Genomic DNA, 22757 nt, shown 5'->3' with positions numbered 1-22757 from the left:
ACTCAACCCTTTTACAATAGCTTAAAAAATACTTAGGTATATACTTAACTAAGGAGGTGAAAGACCTCTCAAAGGAAAACTACACTGCTGAAAGAAATCATAGATGGCACAAATAAATGGAAACACATCCCATGCTCTTGGATGGGTAGAATCAATCTTGTAAAAATGACCATATTGCCAAAGCAATCTACAGATTCAATGCAATTCTCATTAAAATACCACCATAATTCTTCACAGAACTAGGAAAAACAATCCTAAAATTCATACGGAACCAAAAAAGACCCACATAGCCAAAGAAAGACTAAGCAAAAAGAACAAATCTGAAGGCATTACATTACTCGACTTGAAACTATACTACAAGGCTATAGTCACCAAAACAGCATGGTACTGATACAGAAATAGGCACACAGACCAATGGAACAGAATAGAGAACCTAGAAATAAACCCAAAAACTTACAGTCAACTGATCTTTGACAAAGCAAACAAAAACATAAAGTGGCGAAAGGACACCCTATTCAACAAATGGTGCTGGGATAATTGGCAAGCCACATGTGAATGAATGAAACTGGATCCTCATCTCTCATTGTATACAAAAATCTGCTCAAGATTCATCAAAGACTTAAATCTAATACTTGAAACCCTAAAAATTCTAGAAGATAACATTGGAAAAACCCTTCTAGACGTTAGCCTAGGCAAAGACTTCATGACCAAGAACCCAATAGCAAACGCAACAGAAACAAAGATAAATGGATGGGATTTAATTAAACTAAAAAGCTTCTGCACGGGAAAAGTAATAATCAGCAGGGTAAACAGATAACCCATAGAGTGGGAGAAAGTCTTCACAATCTATACATCTGAGAAAGGACTAATATTCAGAATTTATAAGAAACTCTAATCAGCAAGAAAGAAAACAATTTCATAAAAAGTGGGCAAAGGACATGAATAGACAATTCTCAAAAGAAGATATACAAAGGGCCAACAAACATATGAAAAAATGCTGAACATCAATAATTGTTAGGGAAATGCAAATAAAAATCACAATGTGACACCACCTTTCTCCTGCAAGAATGGTCATAATAAAAAAATTTAAAAAAATTAGATGTTGGCATGGATGTGGTGAAAAGGGAACAGTTTTCCACTGTTTGGTGGGAATATAAACTATTAAAACCACTATGGAAAACAGTGTGGAAAGTCCTTAAAAAACTAAAAGTAGATCTACCATTTGATCCAGCAATCCCACTACTGGGTATCTACCCAGAGGAAAATCAGTCATTGTACGAAAAAGATACTTGCACACACATGTTTATAGCAGCACAATTTGCAATTGCAAAAGTATGGAAGGAGCCCAAATGCCCATCAATGAGTGGATAAAGAAAATGTGGTATATATACATATATATATATACACACACACACACACACACACACACACACTGAGTAGTATTCCATGGTGTATATATATACACATATATATACACATATATATACATATATATATACACCACACACACATATATACACACATATATATATGTGTATGTGTGTATATATATGTGTGTGTGTGCGTATATATGTATATATGTGTGTGTATATATACACCATGGAATACTACTCAGCCATAAAAAGGAATGAAATAATGGCATTCACAGCAACCTGGGTGCAATTGGAGACCATTAATCTAAGTGAAGTAACCCAGGAATGGAAACCCAGTCTCACTCATAAGTGGGAGCTAAGGTATGAGGACTCAAAGGCATAAGAATGATACAATGGGCTTCGGGGACTCGAGGGAAAGGGTGGGATGGAGGTGAGGGATAAAAGAATACACTTTGGGTACAGTGTACACTGCCTGGGTGATGGGTGCTCCAAAATCTCAGAAATCACCACTAAAGAATTTACTCATGTAACCAAATAACATCTGTTTCCCAAAAACCTATTGGAAGAAAAAAATGGTAGTAATAATCATTACTGATTATGGTATAGGAATAAAGTTTAAACTGTATGTTTTTTCCCCAGTTTTCCAATCCCTGCACATAATGTGATCAAATGGAAGATTATACTTCAGTTTTTAAAGAAAGAAAATCATTTTTTGTTAGGTTACAGATGAAAAGATGCCATAAATAACCTGTTTCAATAAATTTTAAGCTTTGTTTCCACGGCAGTATACTTTCAAGGTCTGGGTCTTTTTCCTTAGAATAGATGTGATTACTAAAAGATGCTATGGTAGTGATTCATTTTGTGCCAGTCTGTGGTTCTTTACTGTGCTTGAGAATCATATGTGGGGCTTATTAAAAAGTAGATTCCCATACTCAACAAGATTCTGATTCATTAGGTCTAAGATGAGAACTGGGGGGCTATGTATTTAATAGGTTGATATTAATGCAGGTTGTCTTTTGGTCACAATTTGGAAAACAGGATGAACATCACAGCATTTTCAACTTTGAGGGTTGGTCTCCTCAAAGTGTTTTTTCCTTCTTTATAATGTCATAAGTGGAAACCTGCCCTTTAGTGGTCAGTTGTCACAGACTTATTTTGGAGCTTATTTCTAAGTGGCTTATTAAATCTGAAACCTAGCTTTTTAGAAGCAAGGACCTCATTTGATTGTTCTATGTTATTTTAGTGAAGGAAAGTTCAATAACATTAGGATCTTTACAAAAAAGCAGAAGAAAAGAAAAAGGAAGTATTTCTTGAAGGATTCAAGATTTCATTTGTCCATTTATGCAAAAAATTCTTCTTAAGTTGAAGTATATTCATTTATAATTCACATGTAATCTTTTCCCTATGACCTCTAGTAGTGACCACTTACACAACTGTTGAAAATAGTAGAAAAGTAATTCTGGTTTGTTAGTAGGTGATTGTTTTGATCATGTTGGCCTATATAGCACTCTCCCTTTATCTGCACCTTCACCTCCTGTGGTTTTAGTTACTTGTGATGAACCACAGTCTGAAAATATTAAATGGAAAATTCCAGAAGTAAACAATTTGGTTTAAAATTGCATGCCATTCTGTGTAGTGTGATGAAATCTCTCAACTTCTTGCTTTGTCCCACCTGGTAGGTGAAGCCCATTAGTCACTTAGCTGTTTTGGTTATCAGATTGACTGTTGGGGTATCCCAGTTCTTGTGTTCAAAGAACCCTTATTTTAACTAATAATGGCTCCAAAGTGCAAGAATAGTGATGCTAGCAAGTTGGATATGCCAAAGAGAAGTTGTAAAGTGCTTCCTTTGGAAAGGTGAAAGTTATTGACAATAAGGAAAGAAAAAAATTATATGTTGAGGTTGCTAAGATCTGCAGTAAGTATGAATCTTCTATCTGTGAAATTGTGAACAACATTTATTATAATTGTTCTATTTTATTAATTATTGTTATTAATCTTTCTGTGTCTAAAATATGTTAAACTTTATCATAGATATATATGTATAGAAAAAAACATAGTGTATATAGGGTTTCATACTATCCTCAGTTTCAGGCATTCACTGGGAGACTTGGAACCTATCCCTTCTGGATAAGGAAGGAGTACTGTATAGGGAGAAGAAGAATACGGCATATCTGTATAGCTTCAGAAAATAGGCTAACGCTATGTATTTGAATTTATGCTCCCCATATTTCTATATTTATTGCATATTTTGCAGGTTTATATAGCCACAGAATTGTGTAGAAGTTTCTTTTCTTCTGAACTTAACTTACTACAAGTTGATAGATAAAAAAAATCTTACATATCATTGCTGAAGTGCCTCTTTTCTACCAGCCAGCAAATAATGGCAAGAATCTGCTCATTTAAGCCAAGGTGTCATGCACTTTTGGATAACTTTTTAGAATCTAACCTATTTAAAATAAAAGATACTTCTGTATTAGTTTCTCGTAAATTTTTAGTTTCTCCTAATTTTTTTTCAAATTATTATCAGTTTAAAAAAATACATAGGATTTACATATTTTATCATAATTAGAAATGGCTGGCCAGGCGCAGTGGCTCACGCCTGTAATCCCAGAACTTTGGGAGGCCAAGGCGGGCAGATCGCTTGAGCTCGGTTCAAGACCAGTCTGGGGAACCCAAGATCAACATGGCAAAAACCCATCTCTACCAAAAATACAAAAGTTAGCCGGGCCTGGTGGCGCATGCCTGTGGTTCCAGCTACTCAGGAGGCTGGGTTGGAGGACTGCTTGAGCACGGGAGGCGGAGGTTGCAGTGAGATGAGATTGGGCCACTGCACTCCAGCCTGGGTAACAGAGTGAGAGCCCATATCAAAAAACAAAATATAAGAATTAGAAATGGCTAATGCACTTATTTGGAGCCACATTATTTTCAATAGGAACCCATCATCAAATTCATAATGTAGTCAGTGAAAATGTAGGATTCAATTCATGTACCCATCCATTCTTCTTGCAAATATTAACTGAACCCTACTGTGTTTCAGGTACTGTTTTATACTCTAGAGATATAGCAGTGAGCCAAACAGAAAAAGAAAATGACTTGACCTTTCTGGAGCTTAGAATATAGCAGAAAATTTTATTTTGGATAGCAATAAATAATAAGGTTAAAAAAAGCAGAGAAGGGGACATAAATTGTTTGGAGGTGGTAATGAAATTTTAGATTAGGTGGCCTGGAAATGACTCATTGAGAAGGTGACATTGTATAGTGACCTGATTATAATGAAGGAGAAATCTGAAGAGAACATTTGAAGCAGACAGACTGCCAAATGCCAAGGTCGTGAAGCAGATATATGCCTGATCTGTTTGAGGAAGATATGTAGCAAAGTGAATGAGGGGAGATGGTAGTAGGAGATGAGGTTAGAGAGGTAATATGTGTGTGTGTGTGTGTGTGTGTGTGTGTGTGTGTGTGTGACATTCAGACCATATTAAGGATTTGACTTATGTTCTGAGATTGGCAACCACTGGGTGGGTTTGAGAAGCGGAGTGATACAATCTGACTCGGATTGTGGAACAGCTGCTTCACTGGCTGCTATGTCAGTAGACTGAAGATGGACAAGGATGGGAGCAGGGGACAGTTAGGGGACTTTTAAAATAATTCAGGTAAGAGATGGTAGTGGCTTTGATCAGAGTGGTAGTTGTGGAGGTGGAGAGAAGTGGTTGGATTTGGAAATATTATAAAGATAGAAATGACAGGATATAATGATAGAATTTCATTATACATCTAATTTATAAGCCAATTATTCAATTAGTAACTCAAGGAGTAATTCTTTCAGACAAAGAAAAATAGTTTAGGTATGTATGAAGCAGACGATTTGAATTGATAAGTATAAAAGGTACTTATCAATGTAATTAAAATATTTGATGATGAAAAAATAGTACTTCTTAATATTTATTTATATGACTAAGAATATAAAAAACTCAACCTCAGAACTTACTGAATTAATTCTTATCTGTTATAAAGTATCTAGTTAAAAGCTTAATTTCTTACAATTAACATATGTAGTTAAACTATTTCCTAAAGCCTATTTGATGGAAAAAACACGTTGATTTACATACATTTAAAAAGACAGTACAAAATTTTTTAGAGACAAGCTAGCTGTATACTTTTAAATGGAAGAACTAGAGAAGTCATTTTTCATTTTTCTTTCTTCATTTTAGTATTTAATCATGTGAAGAGCTGGATAATTTTTTCTGAGCTTTATCAGTAGAGGGCAGCAAAGTTTCAGGTAGTGTGTTTTCAGGTTCAAGGGCTGCTTTGCTAAGGAAATTTTTTTTGCTGCTCTTAAGTTTGTTCCAGCTTGCCTTTTAATGAAGTGCTTTGGTAATATTATGTAGGAATTCACTTAAAAACTCTGTGGCTGTGGTTCAGATATTTAGCCAACTCTTCCCTTAGGTGCTATAGATACTTTCTTAATGAGAACATGTATTTCTTTTTGTGATTTAGGGAGTACCAGGGCCTGGAAAATATGACATTAAAAGTCAATTTCAGAAGATAGAAAGTATGACACCAAATGCAAATGATGCATCTCCTGCTTTTCTTTCTCAATCCCAGGTAATGGTCTACAGCCATTTTCATATATAGAGTCTAATAGGCATAGTGTGAGGCCAGCAACACATTCAATGATGTTTAAAGGTTATAAGAAGAAAAGTGATATTTAAGCAAATTGGAAATAGACATGGTCTAGGAAAAATATATTGCCAAAACATATGGGTAAAATGAAGTGAAATAAAATTAGAAATACACAGATGAATATTTGAATAGAACCATCTATTAAACATTTTCTATTAAGCAAATTTGCATATATGAATGTTCAGTTCAGTTTATAAGAAATGTCTTCTTTAGTCTGTTTTAAAATATACTTTGCCAATGAATGTGTGGAGTGTTAACATGTAAGCTATATAGGCTTGCATCTCTTTCTGAAAAGGTTCTGAAGGCATTCTGTGGAGCCTGGCCATAGGTCATTTCTACAGCTGCCACTGGGACCTTCACTAGTGATACAACAGTCATAGAGTATATTTTGCAGTAACCATTTCACATACTCCCAGGAATATACTAAGAGGAACTGAAGGTATCTAACATATTTGTAAGGCAAGACAATTATAATACTAGCAAACCTTTATTATGTGGCAGCCTCCAGACCAAAGTGATTGTGATATTTATCCACCTGTGGTATGTATGGCTCTGATTATCTTATTTAACTTGGGAAGAATATTAACCTTCAGGTGACTATAGACGACTACTTTGATTTTATTGTACTTAAGAGACACCTCCTTGGAGACAAGTAGATAGATTGCAAGTATATTTGGAGATAAAATTAACATGATTTTTAATGGGCTAGATGATGTTATAAGGGACTGAGAGGAATCAAGAATGAATACTAGATTTCTGCATCAAGCAACTTAATGATGCTTAAGGTACTACAAGAGATGGATGTGGGGAAGACAGGATATTTTCTGTGTGTGTGTATGTGTGTGTGTGTGTGTGTGTTTGTGTGCGCTCACGTGCGCTTGCGCATGTGCCTGTGCATGCATGTGCGTGTATGTGTACCCTTGATTTTTTAAAAATATGATTTTTACAAATAAAATCTCAGGTTTCATACTATTTCTGTTAATCTGATATATAGCCCTAACCTTACATCACTTGACAATAATCATATTTTAAAATATATTTTTAGAAATAGAAAAGAATATGATATCAATTTGGTTTAAGGGGATGATGGGGAAAAGAATAATGGTTCTGCAGTAAAAGATATGGAAGAGTTTAAACAGGATAACCTGCTAGGGGTAATGTTAATGTTTATTTGAATATGAATAGATACATATAAGTGATTAAGATAGAAAAAGAAATAACACAATTAACAAAGTAGACTTAGAACACAGAATTTCTGGTTTGTAGGAATAAAGACAGATACATTTCTGAGATGCTTATTTTAGTCATTGATTTAGGAGTTGTCGGGCATTTTATCTAAATGCATTGAATTGCCTTATGTCTTCAATTATTAATTTTAAATACACAATATTTCCTTTATGGCAATGGCCCTTACCCCTGGATGCATATTAAAAACATCTGAGGAATTTAAATACATTCTGATACCCAAGTGCCAACATGCCCTTTGCTCTTCCTTCCAGAAATTGATTCAGTTGGTTCAGAATAGGGCCTAAACAGTAATATATATATTTTAATTCCTCAAGTAATTCTAATAAGCAGCCATGGTTGAAAACTATCATTTTATAAACATTATACTTAGCATCTAAAATAATAAGATAGTATTTAGGATAATAAATTTCAGAGTCCTTTTAGTACTTCCAATAATAAATTATTATTTTAGTAGTGTTAATATTTACCTACTTTACACAACTCAAAAGAACATATATGTTGTACTATATTTTTGTTTAAAAAAGATAGGAAAATAGGAAAACATACACATAACTACTTGGCTATATAAACACGATGAAGATAAACCAGAAAACAATGATGTTAGTTATCTACAAGGGATGGTGAGGAGGTAAAGTGCAAGCACTGGTATGCTGCTGTTTATTTGTACTGGCTTGCAAGACCCAATTGTTAAGTTTCCAGGAGTTTTGCAAGCTGGCTGACATTATGTTGGTAGTGTGAAATTAGCCACTGTTGCGGGTAATCAGCAAATGTTGCAAATTGAGACTTTTCTGTCCCAAGTAGCGCAGCATCCCCAACAGGGGGCGTAACACTTCTTTGACTACACTTCAAAAAATACGTATTTATCTTTTGGAAAGATTTCAATGTTTCATATATTAAAAAATAAAAATAAATCAGTAAGAATGGGAAAAGTTAAAAACTAAACTGAAAACAAATGGAAACAAATGAGCAGTTTTATTTCAAATGAATGCCCTTAACTACACTGAAGGGAAAAAAAGAAGTAATAATCCAGGTAACCATAGTATTTGACTATATCAGTCTTCGATGGGGGCTGGAATTGGAGGGTGAGTGGGTAGTGAATGTAAGAATTGGAAACAGGGCGGGTGCGGTGGTTCATGCCTGTAATCCCAAGACTTTGGGAGGCTGAGGCGGGTGGGTTACTTGAGGTCAGCAGTTTGAGACGAGCCTGGCCAACATGGCAAAATCCAGTCTCTACTAAAAATACAAAGATTAGCTGGGCATTGTGGCATGTGCTTGTAATTCCAGCTACTCAGAAGGCTGAGGCACGAGAATCCTCTGAACCCAAGAGGTGGAGGTTCCAGTGAGTCGAGATTGCGCCTGTGTGATGGAATGAGACTCTGTCTCAGAAAAAAAGAAAAAAAGAAGAATTGGAAACAAATTCTTAATTATTTTTAGTAGGTTGGTTTATTGGGATGGTATGGGTAAAGCAATTATAAAACTATCTTAGAATATCACAAGTTTGAGCAAAAAAGTTGATAATCTGAGGTATGGTTTTCATTGTTAAGGAAGGTGCATACAAATATGGATTGGAGGAGGTGAAAGAGGACCTTGTGGGATGGATTTGAATTGAAGGCTTTTATGTGAACTCATGATTTTTAATATATATTTATATGTATGAATATATGCATATATATGTGCACATGTAAATGTATATATGTTCACATGTCTATGTATGAGTGTATATATGTATGTGTGTGTTTCTCCCTCTCATTCTCTGTGAATGTGTGTATGTCCTAGCTCTGTCTGCTAAATGAACTAAGAAGCAAAGATACCCCAGTAGCAAGGGACACATCAAGTGCCCAGATCTTGGTCTCTAATTCTATTCCTACTGAAAGAAAAAGGATTCCTCAGAGAAATAACTGATTCCAGGGTAGGTGGAAGAGGACAGTGTAACATTTTATTTCAGAAAGTAAGTTCTAAACGAGATAATGATGAGAGCATATCACAGGGACATAGGAAACAATATGAAGGGCCCCCCACCTGCTCAGTAATGAATTATAAATCGTTAACATTGGCATTCATGAGTCAATGTGGATAATAAATAGATAACTAAGTACAGTTGACCTCTGAACAATGTAGAGATTAGGGATGCCAACCCTCCAAGCATTTGAAAATCTGCATGTGGCTTTTGACTCCTCCCAAACTTAGCTACAAATTGGCTATTGTTAACTGGAAGCCTTACCAATAACATAGTCAAATAACACATATTTTGTATGTTATATGTGTTATGTACTGTATACTTACAATAAAGTAAGCTAGAAAAAAGGAAATGTTATTAAAAAATCACAAGGAAGAGAAAATATATTTACTATTTATTAAATGGAAGTAAATTACTATAAAGCTCTTGTCATTACATTCAATAGACTAGGAGGAGGAAGAAGAGGAAGGGTTGGTCTTTCTATCTCAAGGGTGGCAGAGACTGAAGAAAATTTGTGTATAAGTGGAACCACATTGTTCAAACCCGTGTTGTTCAAGGGTCGACTATAGATAGGTAAGTAGATAGCTAATGAAATAAATAATTGAAGGAGAAGGGAGAGCACTTGCTTACAGTAGAATGCTAAGTACTTATTATAAATATAGAGGCAGTGTTGAATTTGATCAAAATTAAAATTACCAGTGAAGACCAGCAGACATCACATCTCCAGATATGATATCCTGGGAAAGCCACACATCACCCACCTAGTAGTATGTCCAGAAATGTATAACCTGGATATAATTATGAGGAAATATCAGGTAAGCCTCAAGTAAGTAAGGTTCTATTATACAAAAGGGTGATTCTCCCAAAATGTTAAAATCACAAAACACAAAGGAAGGCTGTAGAAATGTTCCTACATTAAAGGACATAAAAGAGACATGATGACTAAAGCAATATGTGACTCTAAACTAGATTATGTACTGAAGGGGAAAAATGCAGTAGAGGCCTTATTAGATCAGCCGACGAATTTGGAATACGAATCCTAGATTACATGAAAGCATTAGATCATTGATACATTTACTGAAGTTGATAACTGTACTGTGGATATGTAAGAAAATATCTGCATTTTTTTTGTAAATACATACTGAAGTATTTGTGGGTAAAGAGCCATGAAATATGCAACTTTCAAAATCTGTGTGTGTGTGTGTGTGTGTGTGTGTGTGTGTGTAGAGTAAGAGAGACAGAGGAAGAGAAAGACAAACAGACAAAACAGAGATAGAGTTGGCAAAGAAAAAAAGGCAAATGAGGTAACATGATAATAGAGGAATCTGGGTAAAGGTTATACACATATTTTCTGTATTATTTTTATTCATGCATCTTCTCTGTAAATTTGAAATTCTTTTCAAATGAAAAGTTAAAAAGATTATACAATGCTAGCTCACATCTGTAATCCCAGCACTTTGGGAGGCTGAGACGGGCAAATCACAAGGTCAGGAAATTGAGACCATCCTGGCTAACACGGTGAAACCCCGTTTCTACTAAAAATACAAAAAAATAGCTGGGCATGGTGGCGGGTGCCTGTGGTCCCAGCTGCGTGGGAGACTGAGGCGGGAAAATGGTGTGAACCCGGGAGGTGGAGCTTGCAGTGAGCCGAGATCGCGCCACTGCACTCCAGCCTGGGCAACAGAGCGAGACTCCGTCTCAAAAAAAAAAAAAGATTATACAGTGCTATATCTCATGAATTTATAGTTATATATATATATATATATATAAACATTTTATATATATAATGTTAATAAGTTTAAAAGTTAAACTGAATTGATAAACCACTGAATCTAAGATTTTTTTTGAGATATCTAATGATACTGTTGAGTTAATTGAATATACATGTTGAGGAACTTTTTCAATAAATATAATTTGATCACATAAAATAACGTGTTAGATCATATAGTTTTTTATTTATATTAACTGGCAGAATATTTTAAGTATGATCATTATCCCTACACTATCATCTAGAGTCTCATGTTGAGATTATTTTCTTCTAAAAGTCTGTCTGCCTTAGTAAGGCACATAATACATTACTATATTAGTATACAGGTGATTTTACTAAAAGCTATATATTTTATGTTTTGATGGGTACAAGATCTTAGTTCATCTACATTTTCTTCACTCCATTAAGAAATAAATTAACTCCAGATGTTATATTACTCAAAAGGCAGGTTTTAACTCATGAAGTATCAAAATGTACTATACTTTCTTATTGGCATATTTTCCTGTTCTTCACTAGAGATTTTTACCTATGAAATCAATCACCCCGGCTCCTGGCACATATAATGAACCTCGAACTGCTCTCAAGTCTTTGAAGAAAACATCAGGACTGAAAAATATTCCATTTGGTCAAAGTGCTGTTCGATTCACACAGGACATCAGGACAGAGGAAATGCCAGGTTAGCAATTTATCTATATATGTCTACTCTTTGGCTTTATAAAGAAACTTAATGTTCTTAACAAGATGGATACACCAGAGAGTATGTTTTCTTTTTTGTCCTATGGTTGGTGTCATTTTAAGTCAACATTTTTTAAAGCATTCACTATACATTAAACACAGATAAATCAAAATAATATACAGTTTTAGTAAGATTTCAGTTTAACATTCTGCACATCCTAATTATAATTTTCTGTTGTTTTTCTTTATTTGGTAAATTTTCTGATTTTTTTCTTGGCAGATGAACAACATAATATATCAACTATGTGGTCACCATTAGTAATATAATTTATGATGTTCAGTTTTGTTAAACTTTTTTATTTCAGAGGTTTTCAATCATGTATTCTGGTATTCTCAGTGGATATTTTAGTGTTCAGAGCTAAGAATATAGAACCAAAATAAATTATAAAATTGCTGACATACAGTTCTGGGCATCTATTGCTGTTCAACAATCTTAGTCGCTTAAAACAACAGGCTTTTCTATTATATATCATTATTTTGTGGGATGGCTAGAAGGCAAGGCTCAGATGGGTCTGTTATTCAAAGGATGTACTTAGCTCCAGCATGGCTGCCTGAGGGCAGCCTAACATTTAACATGGTGGCCCAGGGTTCCATGAGACCTGACCAGATGCTGCAAGATTTTTTATGACCCAGCCACAGAACTCCCAGGATATCATGTCTTCTGCATTCTATTAGTTAATTAAGTCACTCAGAGTAGCACATATTGATTGAAAGGACATGAAACTTTATCTCTCAGTGAGAAGAGTAGCAAAGAATTGATGGCCAACTTTAATCTACTGTATGATCAATTCCCTGGCTACAAAAATATTTACATTGTTCCTACATGCACCTACTCCTTCTCAAGGACCCAAAAGTTTCATGTAATTATGTCATAATTTCAAACTCCAGGATCATTTTTTAAAAAAATTTTTGAGGCATGATCTCTCTCTCTCTGTCATCCAGGCTGGAGTTCAGTGGCATGATCATAGTTCACTGCAGCCTCCAACTCCTGGCTCAAAGGATCCTCCTGCTTCAGCCTTCTGAGTAGCTGGGACTACAGGTGTGTGCTACAATGCCTGGCTATTTTAAAAAAATTTTCGCCTGGCACGGTGGCTCACACCTTTAATCCCATAACTTGGGGAGGCTGAGGCGGGTGGATCATGAGGTCAGGGGATCGAGACCATCCTGGCCAACATGGTGAAACTCCATCTATACTAAAATACAAAAAATTAGTCGGGTGTGGTGGTGCGCATCTGTAGTCCCAGCTATTGGGGAGGCTGAGGCAGGGGAATTGCTTGAACCTGGGAGGCGGAGGTTGCAGTGAGCCGAGATAGTGCCACTGCACTCCAGCCTGGCAACAGAGCAAGACTCCGTCTCAAAAAAAAAAAAAAAGAAATTGTGGAAATGAGGCCTCATTTCGTTGCCCAGGCTGGTCTTTAACTCCTAACCTTAAATGATCTTTCCACCTCGGCTCTCAAAGTATTGGGATTACAAGCGTAAGCCACAACTCCCAGCCCCGGGTCTTGTCATCTAAGTCAGGTATAAGTGCAGATGAGGATTCTTATTTGTGGTTCTTAAGATACAGCTCCTTCTCTATAAGCAGAGCTGTGAACCAAAGAGAGGATTGTTTCATCCATCATACAGTGGTGGGAGAGATATAGGATAATCAGATCAGACACTCCTGTTCAGGAAGAGGGAAAACTGGAGGCCCACAACAGTCACAGTACCATAGCAATTCTGAAAATCAGCTGGGCACATGTTAGCATTTCCTTGATGAGGATCCAGTAAGGCTCTCTGGGGGGAATGATTTTCTGTGGTTGTTTGTTCTGCCTTTTAGGCTCTTGGTTCTGCTGAGTCATCCTTTTTTCTCTATGAAATAGGCTGTGTTTGCCGCTGTAGCTTTCTCAGCCTGCTTCTATCAGCTTCTTTTCCTTTTTACTCTCATTGTCCCTTTTATCCCAAGATGATACGATTCTTATAAAACCTTTGAGTTTCTTATTGTTTTAATTTATAATCAAATCCACTAGACAAAAGCCACAGTTACATTTTCTTAGAAAAACTGTTTTAAATCACCTGTGAGGCTGTTACATGTTTTGTGTCACCTTTGTCTATTTTGTATCACCTTTGAGGCTATTATGTTTTTAACACCCTTAAGTTGTTAGGGCACCATTGTCTAAGTGAAAAGGCCCAGGATAAAGACCTTAAGATTCTTAAGGCCCCTTTTTGAGAAGTTCTATGAGGGATTACCATAAATATTTCTAAAGGTCTTACAGCCAAATCCTGCTTTACATCTTTTCCTTTAAGCCCCTTCTTACTTTGAGAGATTTTTGTTATCTGGATAGACTGGGGATGAAAAACAGTTTATTTTCAAATCTAGGAAATTCTAGTTCCTTTTTATTTCCTATACATTCTCCTTGAAAAGTTATACACTGTATTACTTTTTATTTATTTTTAACTTTTATTTTAAGTTCAGGGGCACATGTGTGGGATTGTCATATAGGTAAATTTGTGTCGTGGGGGTTTCTTGTACAGGCTGTTTCATCACCAGATATTAATCCTAGTACCCATTAGTTATTTTTCCTGACTCTCTCCCTCCTCCCACCCTCCACCACTGGTAGGCCCCATTGTCTGTGGTTCCTCTCTATGTGTCCATTTGTTCTCATTATTTTGCTCCCACTTATAAGTGCAAACATGTGGTATTTGGTTTTATGTTTCTGTGTTAGTTTGCTAAGGATAATGGCCTGTAGCTCCATCCATGTTTCTGCAAAGGACTTGATCTCATTCTTTTTTATTGCTGCATAGTATTTCATGGTGTATATGTTCTTTATCCAGTCTACCATTGATAGGCATTTAGGCTGATTCCATGTCTTTGCTGTTGTGAATAGTGTCTCAATGAACATACACATGCTTGTGTCTTTGTAATAGAACAGTTTATATTCCTTTGGGTATATACCCAGTAATGGAATTGCTGGGTCAAATGGTAGTTCCAGAAAACTGAACACTTTATAAACTCTTTTCCTTCTATCTATCTATACCTTCTCACACATGGATGAAAGGAACTATTGGCACTTTGAAATTCAGCCTGGAAATTTCCTTAGTTAGAATCTAGCAGTTCATTAGGTATTTTCTTCATTACCTCAAGTATTAGTGTTGCTAAAATTTCTGCCATTGCATAATACCAGTTATCATTTCTCCATGCTCTAATAACGTTTTCCCCGCTGTCTTTCAAGTCATCACCAGCAGTCTCCTCAAGGCCTTTATTCTAACTCATCAGGTCGCTCTAGTTTCTGACCGATTGTCTGATTCCAAAGTCGCTGCCACAGATTTTAGAGTTTGGTTATAGTAATACACTTCGTATAATTGTTTGCTACTCATTCCATGGAGAGATTGAGTCTCACTCTTCTCCCCTTCAGTCTTGACTAGCCCTGGTGCTTTCTTGACCAATGCATGGAGTGGAAGTGATATTCTAGCACTTCTCAGATAAAACCATTTGCTTTACAGATTGATCTGGGCCTCTTGAAACAGTTGGTCTTGGAGCCCTGAGCCCCTATGTTGAAGTATGACTACTTTAAGAATGCCATTTGAGGCTAGCTCAGTAGTATTTATTATTGTAAACTTGAAATAATCAAAAGGGTCAGAATCCAGTTTAAGAGAGTTTATTCAGGTGCAAAGGCTAGAATAGCTATTCAAGTAACACAGACTCCAAAGGAATGGGGTCAGTGCTCCAAAGGTGAAAAGGTCTTGCTCTTATAGTCAGAAAATAAAGAAATTTAATAGGATTATAACATTTTTTTAAAAAGCTGGTTTATGAGTTATAGCAATTTGATTAGTTATAGCAGTTTAGCTATAGCTGTTTTCCTTTTCCAATTTAAAAGAGTGCATTTAATATTCCATCTTAGACAATGTGATAGTCATGCGATCTTTGTGTCAGAGAAGTAAAAGGGAAGTTAAGCTATAATGAAGATCAATAGTGGAGAGGCAAGGGGTCTTCTCTGGCACTTTTTAGTCTTTTACAGTATTTTAGAAAACAACGTGGATAAAGAAAAGGTCAATCTATAATCAGAGGAACAAAAGTTACAGCTGCCTGTCATGTGATTCAGGTTGCATAAGCACAATCCTTTAAGGCTCAAAATAATTTAAAGTTCCAACAGCTTTGATTTTGAGTTGCTTATTTATATATCATGAATCTGAAATCCAAATTATTTCTAAGTATTAACTTATTGAGTGGCCCAGTTACTCTAAGATTGGGTCTTACCGTCAGTCTGATGGTCTAGTATATTACAAATAAAATATTATACATCCTTCAAAGTTAGTTTATTTATAAAGGGCAAGTTAAATTAAGAATGACCTCTAAAACGTAATCTAGAATCTTACATATTTTAAGGATTAGTAAGAATGGCCATCATGGAAATTTGATTTCTTTTCATGTAATTATTAGATTAGAGTAAAGAATTGGACTTGTAAAGCAGTCATAGAGCAGATTTGACCACCTACTGTGGAGCTCCAAAATGTTTGCAAGTTACTACTATAAGGCACCCCTAAACCTTTTAACTCTCCCATAGCAGATCTGATCTGGGGTTCCTGGGCATTTCTATACTTAATGACTCTAAGATAAATATAAGAAAGTTCTAATGTGAGTGAACCATATGATCAGAATGGCTTTGCAAGTCAGATTAAGGTAGTACCTGAGATGTGTATGTCTGAGGTCCCTAGCCCTGAGGATGATATATTAAGTACTTAAGCTCACCTGCAAAGTGCTATGTTATGCTCTTGAGCCAGAAGGGAGATAGATTTGACATAGTTACTTGTTATTTATATATCTTAAGTGGTGGCTCAAATAGTTTTCATTATACTTTGTGTTTATCTTTTTCCTAAACATTACCACTGTAAGAATGTTGAACAGCAGCGGGAATAATATATATTAGCACTTAGGTTTTCTGAGAGTTGGCACAACAGAATTTTTGTAGATATTTTTAGGGAATAGACTAGAACTGGAATATTTGAAAAATTGGGAAGAGTTTGTTTACAGTTAGAGAGAAATCTTATATGTGTCAGAAGTATGAAGGATATTTCTATGCAGAAAGATTTAATCACTTTTAGATCTGGAGTGAACCAAAGTAACGTCTAACCTAGTACTACCCAGTGACACTCTTTTGTCAACTGTTTCTTGCCTATGATGAGAAAAGAGATTCTACCAGAACATAAATCAGCACAACCCTCTCTTCATTCAGAAGGACTAGTTACAAAATGCTTAGTGAAATAGTCAATTTACATTTAGTTGTAAACCCCTTATCTTGTAGATTGTTCTTGGACAAACACTGATCTAATCGATTCCTATTATTTTTAGATAAGGAACTTGAAGCCCAGAAAAACAAATGAGATTTAAGTGAAGTTTCATATCTATTTAGTGGCAGGACTAATTAAGTAGAATGCAGATAACATGAGTACAACCAAGTTAAGTGTTCTTTAAGTATATCATATTGAGTCTGATGGATATTGCTGCTCACTAGAATTGATTTTTTAAACAACATACTCAAATGTTTAAGTATTTGACTGTCTTGATAAAAACTTTTGAACAGCATAGAAAGTTGTATTATTTTAAATGAAAAATATATGAACCTAAATTCACTCAGAACTACCACTGTGGAAAATATTCCAGGTTATGAATATGCACAGAAAAATAAAAGACAAAAATTAAAATAACTTTTGTGACAGGGAGGTCAAATGATAGGATATATTAATTTTTTTGTGAAATGTATTTTATTGCTGCTGTATTATTTGAAAACTTTTTAGTGTTGAGATTTATTTATTTATTTCTGCTCTATTGAGGTATACCTATACATAATAAATATTATTCATTTAAATGTACAATTTGATGAATTTTGGTAGATGTATGTAGTCAGGCAATCAGAATTACAGTAATGTTTTGGAGCACTTTAATCATTCCTAAAAAGTTTCTTCATGTTCCTTTGCAGTTAATCTCTATTCCCACTTCTGGCCCTAGGAACTGTTTCTGCTGCTATGATTTTATCTTTTCTAAATTTACATATAAATGGAATTATACATTATTCAAGCTTTTGAGTCTGCCTTTTTTTACTTATGATATTCTAGAGAAACATTTATATTGTTGTGTTTGTCTTTCTTTTTTATTGCTGAGTAGTATGCCATGGTTTGGGTGTAGCACATTTTGTTTACTTATTCATCAGCTGATGGACACTTGAGTTCTTTTCATTTCTTTTGGGAAAATACCTAGAAATAGAATTTCTGGTCATATGGCAAGTGTATTAGCCCATGTTCATGCTGCTGATAAAGACGTTCCCGAGACTGGGCAATTTACAAAAGAAAGAGGTTTAATGGACTTACAGTTCCACATGGCTGGGGATGCCTCACAATCATGGTGGAAGATAAAAGGCACATCTCACATGGCAGCAGACAAGAGGAGGGAGCTTGTGCAGGGAAACTCCAGTTTTTAAAACCATTAGATCTTGTGAGACTTACTCACTATCATGAGAACAACACGGGAAAGACCCACCCCCGTGATTCAATTACCTCCCACCAGGTTCCTCCCAAGACACATAAGAATTGTGGGAGCTACAGTTCAAGATGAAATTTGGGTGGGGACAGAGCCAAACCATATCATTCTACCCTGGGCCCCTCCCAAATCTCACGTCCTCACATTTCTAAACAAATCATGCCTTCCCAACAGTCCCCAAAAGTCTTAACTCATTCAGCATTAGTTCAGAAGTCCACAGTCCAAAGTATCATTTAAGACAAGGCAAGTCCTTTCCACCTATGAGCCAGTAAAATCAAAAGCAAGTTAGTTACTTCCTAGATACAATGGGGGTACAGGCCTTGGGTAAACACACCCATTCCAAGTGGGAGAAATTGACTGAAACAAAGGGGCTACAGGCCCTATGCAAGTCTGAAATCCAGTGGGGCAGTCAAATCTTAAAGCTCCAAAATAGTCTCCTTTGACTCCGTGTCTCACATCCAGGTCATGCTGATGCAAGAGGTAGGTTCCCACAGTCTTGGGCATCTCCATCCCTGAGGCTTTGCAGGATACAGCCTCCCTCCCGGATGCTTTCATGGGCTGGTGTTTTGTCTGTAGCTTTTCCAGGCACATGGTGCAAGCTGTCAGTGGATCTACAATTCTGGGGTTTGGAATATGGTGGCCCTCTTCTCATAGCTCCACTAGGTGGTGCCCCAAAAGGGACTCTGTGTGGTGGCTCTAACTGCACATTTTCCTTCTACAATCCCCTAGCAGAGGTTCTCCATAAAGGCCCCACCCCTGCAGCAAACTTCTGCCTGAACATCCAGGAATTTCCATACGTAGCTGCCAAGGCTTGGGCTTGCACCCTCTGAAACCACGGCCTGAGCTCTACGTTGGCTCCTTTCAGCAATGGCTGGAGTGGCTGGGATGCAAGGCACCAAGTCGTTACGATGCACATAGCACCAGGAGCCTGGGTCTGGCCCACAAAATCACTTTTTCCTCCTAGGCCTCCAGGCCTGTGATGGGAGGGGCTGCCATGAAGACCTCTGACATACCTGGAGACATTTTTCCCATTGTCTTGGGGATTAACATTCAACTCCTCATTACTTATGCAAATTTCTGCAGCCAGCTTGAATTTCTCCTCAGAAAATGGGTTTTTGTTTTTCTATCATTGTCAAATTTTACGAACTTTTATGCTCTGCTTTCCTTATAAAACTGAATGCCTTTAACAGCACCCAAGTCACATCTTGAATGCTTTGCTGCTTAGAAATTTCTTCTGCCAGATACCCTAAATCATGTCTCTCCAGTTCAAAGTTCCACAAATCTCTAAGACAGGGGCAAAATGCCACCAGTCTTTTTGCCAAAACATAACAAAAGTCACCTTTGCTCCAGTTCCCAACAAGTTCCTCATCTCCATCTGAGGCCACCTCAGCCTGGACTTTATTGTGCATATCACTGTCAGCATTTTGGTCAAAGCCATTCAACAAGTCTCTAAGAAGTTCCAAACTTTCCCATATTTTTCTGTCTTCTTCTGAGCCTTCTAAACTGTTCCAACCCATGCCTGTTACCCAGTTCCAAAGTTGCTTCAACATTTTCAGGTATCTACAGCAGTGCCCAACTTTACTGGTACCGATTTACTGTATTAGTCTGTTTTCATTCTGCTAAAAAAGACATACCCAAGAGTGGGCAATTTGCAAAAGAGAGGTTTAATGGACTTATGGTTCCACATGGTTGGGAAGGCCTCACAATCATGGCAGAAGGTGAAAGGCATGTCTCACATGGCAGCAGACAAGAGAAGAGAGGTTGTACAGGGAAACTCCTATTTTTAAAACCATCAGATCTCGTGATACTTATTCACTATCAAAAGAACAGCATGGGAAAGATCCACCCCCATGATTCAATTACCTCCCACTGGGTTCCTCCTATGACAGTTCCTCCCATGGAATTGTGGGAATTACAATTCAAGCTGAGATTTGGGTGGGGACACAGCAAAACCATATCAGCAAGTATATGTTAACTGTATAAAAATTTGACCAAATTTTAAAATGCGACTATGCCATTTTACATTTATGCCAGAAATATGTGAGGGTTTTTTATTTAGAAAAAAACCCTTAATTAAAAATTACTCAGTTCAAAAGGTGCATATAAAAGCATGCTTATTCTTATATATGATACTTCTAATAATTTTAGGTCCTGGATTTTATAATGTCTTGAACAATACTATAATTGCCAGTGTTAGAAATATCTGCTCAAAGAAACAGAAGAAAAGTGCATTTGGTTCTTCTGTTCCTCGGACTTTCTTCTCGGTTCAGAAAGAAGCTTGTGCTACCCCTGGACCTGCTGATTATCAGGTAATACATTCATACAAAAATAATATTCTTTATGTTGAATATCAAGCTCTTAGGGTTCTCTTGAAATTACATGTTATAATTAATAGAAAAGGATGTCAAATAGTTATTATAACCATGTTCCATATGTTAAGGAAAGTAGGAGAAATATTGAACATATTACATAATAGAGAAATGGCAGAAATAAAAAACACAAATTGAATTTCTAGAGATGAAAAATATAGCGTTTGAAAAAATATGCTCTGGGGATTTGTTCATGGGAAGGTGATCAGAAAGGTGAAGGCACATAAGTTTAAACCACGTAGCACAAAGAACATTTGAAAAAAATGAAGATGCTTAATATAGAGAAGTAAAGACTTAGGGAGAATAAACCAGACAATTGGTTTTAAAATGGAAAGCTTTCTAATATGGAGAAAGTTCTGTGTGACATACGGGATTCTATTTTTTTAAATTATGATTTTATTTTATTTTGTTTATTTTTTTTCATTATACTTTAAGTTCTGGGGTACATGTGCAGAACGTGCAGGTTTGTTACATAGGTGTACATGTTCCATGTTGGTTTCCTGCACCCATCAACTCATCAGTTACATTAGGTATTTCTCCTAATGTTATCCCTCCCCCAGCCCGCCACCCCACGACAGACTACAGTGTGTGATGTTCCCTGCCCTGTGTCCAAGTGTTCTCATTGTTTAATTCCCATCTATGAGTGAGAACCTGCGGTGTGTGGTCGTCTTTCCTTGTGTTAGTTTGCTGAGAATGATGGTTTTCAGCTTCATATCCATATAAAGGACATGAACTCATCCTTTTTTATGGCTGCATAGTATTCCATGGTGTATATGTGCCACATTTTCTTAAACTAGTCTATCATTGATAGACATTTGGATTGGTTCCAAGTCTTTGCTATTGTGAATAGTGCTGCAATAAACATATGTGTGCATGTGTCTTTATAGTAGCATGATTTATAATCCCTTGGGTATATACCCAATAATGGGATTGCTGGGTCAAATGGTATTTCTAGTTCTAGATCCTTGAGGAATTGCCACACTGTCTTCCACAATGATTAACTAATTTACACTCCCACCAACAGTGTAAAAGCATTCCTATTTCTCCACGTCCTCTCCAGCATCTGCTGTTTTCTGACTTTTTAATGATCACCATTCTAACTGGTGTGAGATGGTATCTCATTGTGTTTTGATTTGCATTTCTCTGATGACCAGTGATGATGAGCAATTTTTGTGTCTGTTGGCTGCATTACTGTCTTCTTTTGAGAAGTGTCTGTTCACATCCTTTGCCCACTTTTTGCTGGGGTTGTTTTTTTCTTGTAAATTCGTTTAGGTTCTTTATAGATTCTGGATATTAGCCCTTTGTCAGATGGGTAGATTGCAAAAATTTTCTCCCATTCTGTAGGTTGCCTGTGCACTCTGATGATAGTTTCTTTTGCCATGCAGAAGCTCTTTAGTTTAATTAGATCCCATTTGTCAATTTTGACTTTTGTTGCCATTGCTTTTGGTGTTTTAGACATGAAGTCCTTGCCCATGCCTATGTCCTGAATGGTATTGCCTAGGTTTTCTTCTAGGGATTTTATGGTTTTAGGTCTAACATTTAAGCCTTTAATCCATCTTGAATTAATTTTTGTAGAAGGTGTAAGGAAGGGATCCAGTTTCAGCTTTCTACATATGGCTAGCCAGTTTTCCCAACATCATTTATTAAATAGGGAATCCTTTCCCCATTTCTTGTTTTTCTCAGGTTTGTCAAAGATCAGATGGTTGTAGATGTGTGGTGTTATTTCTGAGGGCTCTGTTCTGTTCCATTGGTCTGTATTTCTGTTTTGGTACCAGTAGCACACTGTTTTGGTTGCTGTAGCCTTGTAGTATAGTTTGAAGTCAGGTAGCATGATGCCTCCAGCTTTATTCTTTTTGCTTAGGATTGTCTTGGCAATGCAGGCTCTTTTTTGGTTCCATATGAGCTTTAAAATAGTTTTTTTCCAATTCTGTGAAGAAAGTCATTGTTAGCTTGATGGGGATGGCATTGAATCTATAAATTACCTTGGTCAGTATGGCCATTTTCACAATATTGATTCTTCCTACCCATGAGCATGGAATATTCTTCCATTCATTTGTGTTCTCTTTTATTTCGTTGAGCAGTGGTTTGTAGTTCTCCTTGAAGAGGTTCTTCA

General features: G+C 36.4%; 1 protein-coding gene across 7 annotated transcripts in view; it reads left to right on the top strand.

The window, feature by feature from the left end:
• STPG2 (sperm tail PG-rich repeat containing 2) overlaps positions 1-22757 on the top strand; it is a 702228-nt gene that overhangs the window by 150613 nt on the left and 528858 nt on the right. For 4 of the 7 annotated variants that reach the window (XM_047450118.1, NM_174952.3, XM_047450119.1 and 1 more), the window contains 2 exons: positions 11546-11705; positions 20424-20584. In XM_047450118.1, the coding sequence (XP_047306074.1) occupies positions 11546-11705; positions 20424-20584 (321 nt within the window). Of the gene's footprint in view, positions 1-5870; positions 5979-11545; positions 11706-20423; positions 20585-22757 lie in introns of all 7 variants that reach the window. The other 3 variants (XM_017008049.3, XM_011531886.4, XM_017008051.3) reach the window with 1 other exon arrangement.

Source organism: Homo sapiens, chromosome 4 (assembly GCF_000001405.40).
Source record: "Homo sapiens chromosome 4, GRCh38.p14 Primary Assembly".
NCBI classification, from domain to species: Eukaryota; Metazoa; Chordata; class Mammalia; order Primates; family Hominidae; genus Homo; species Homo sapiens.
Note: the sequence above shows the minus strand (reverse complement) of the source record. Positions and strands in the feature narration are given on the sequence as shown.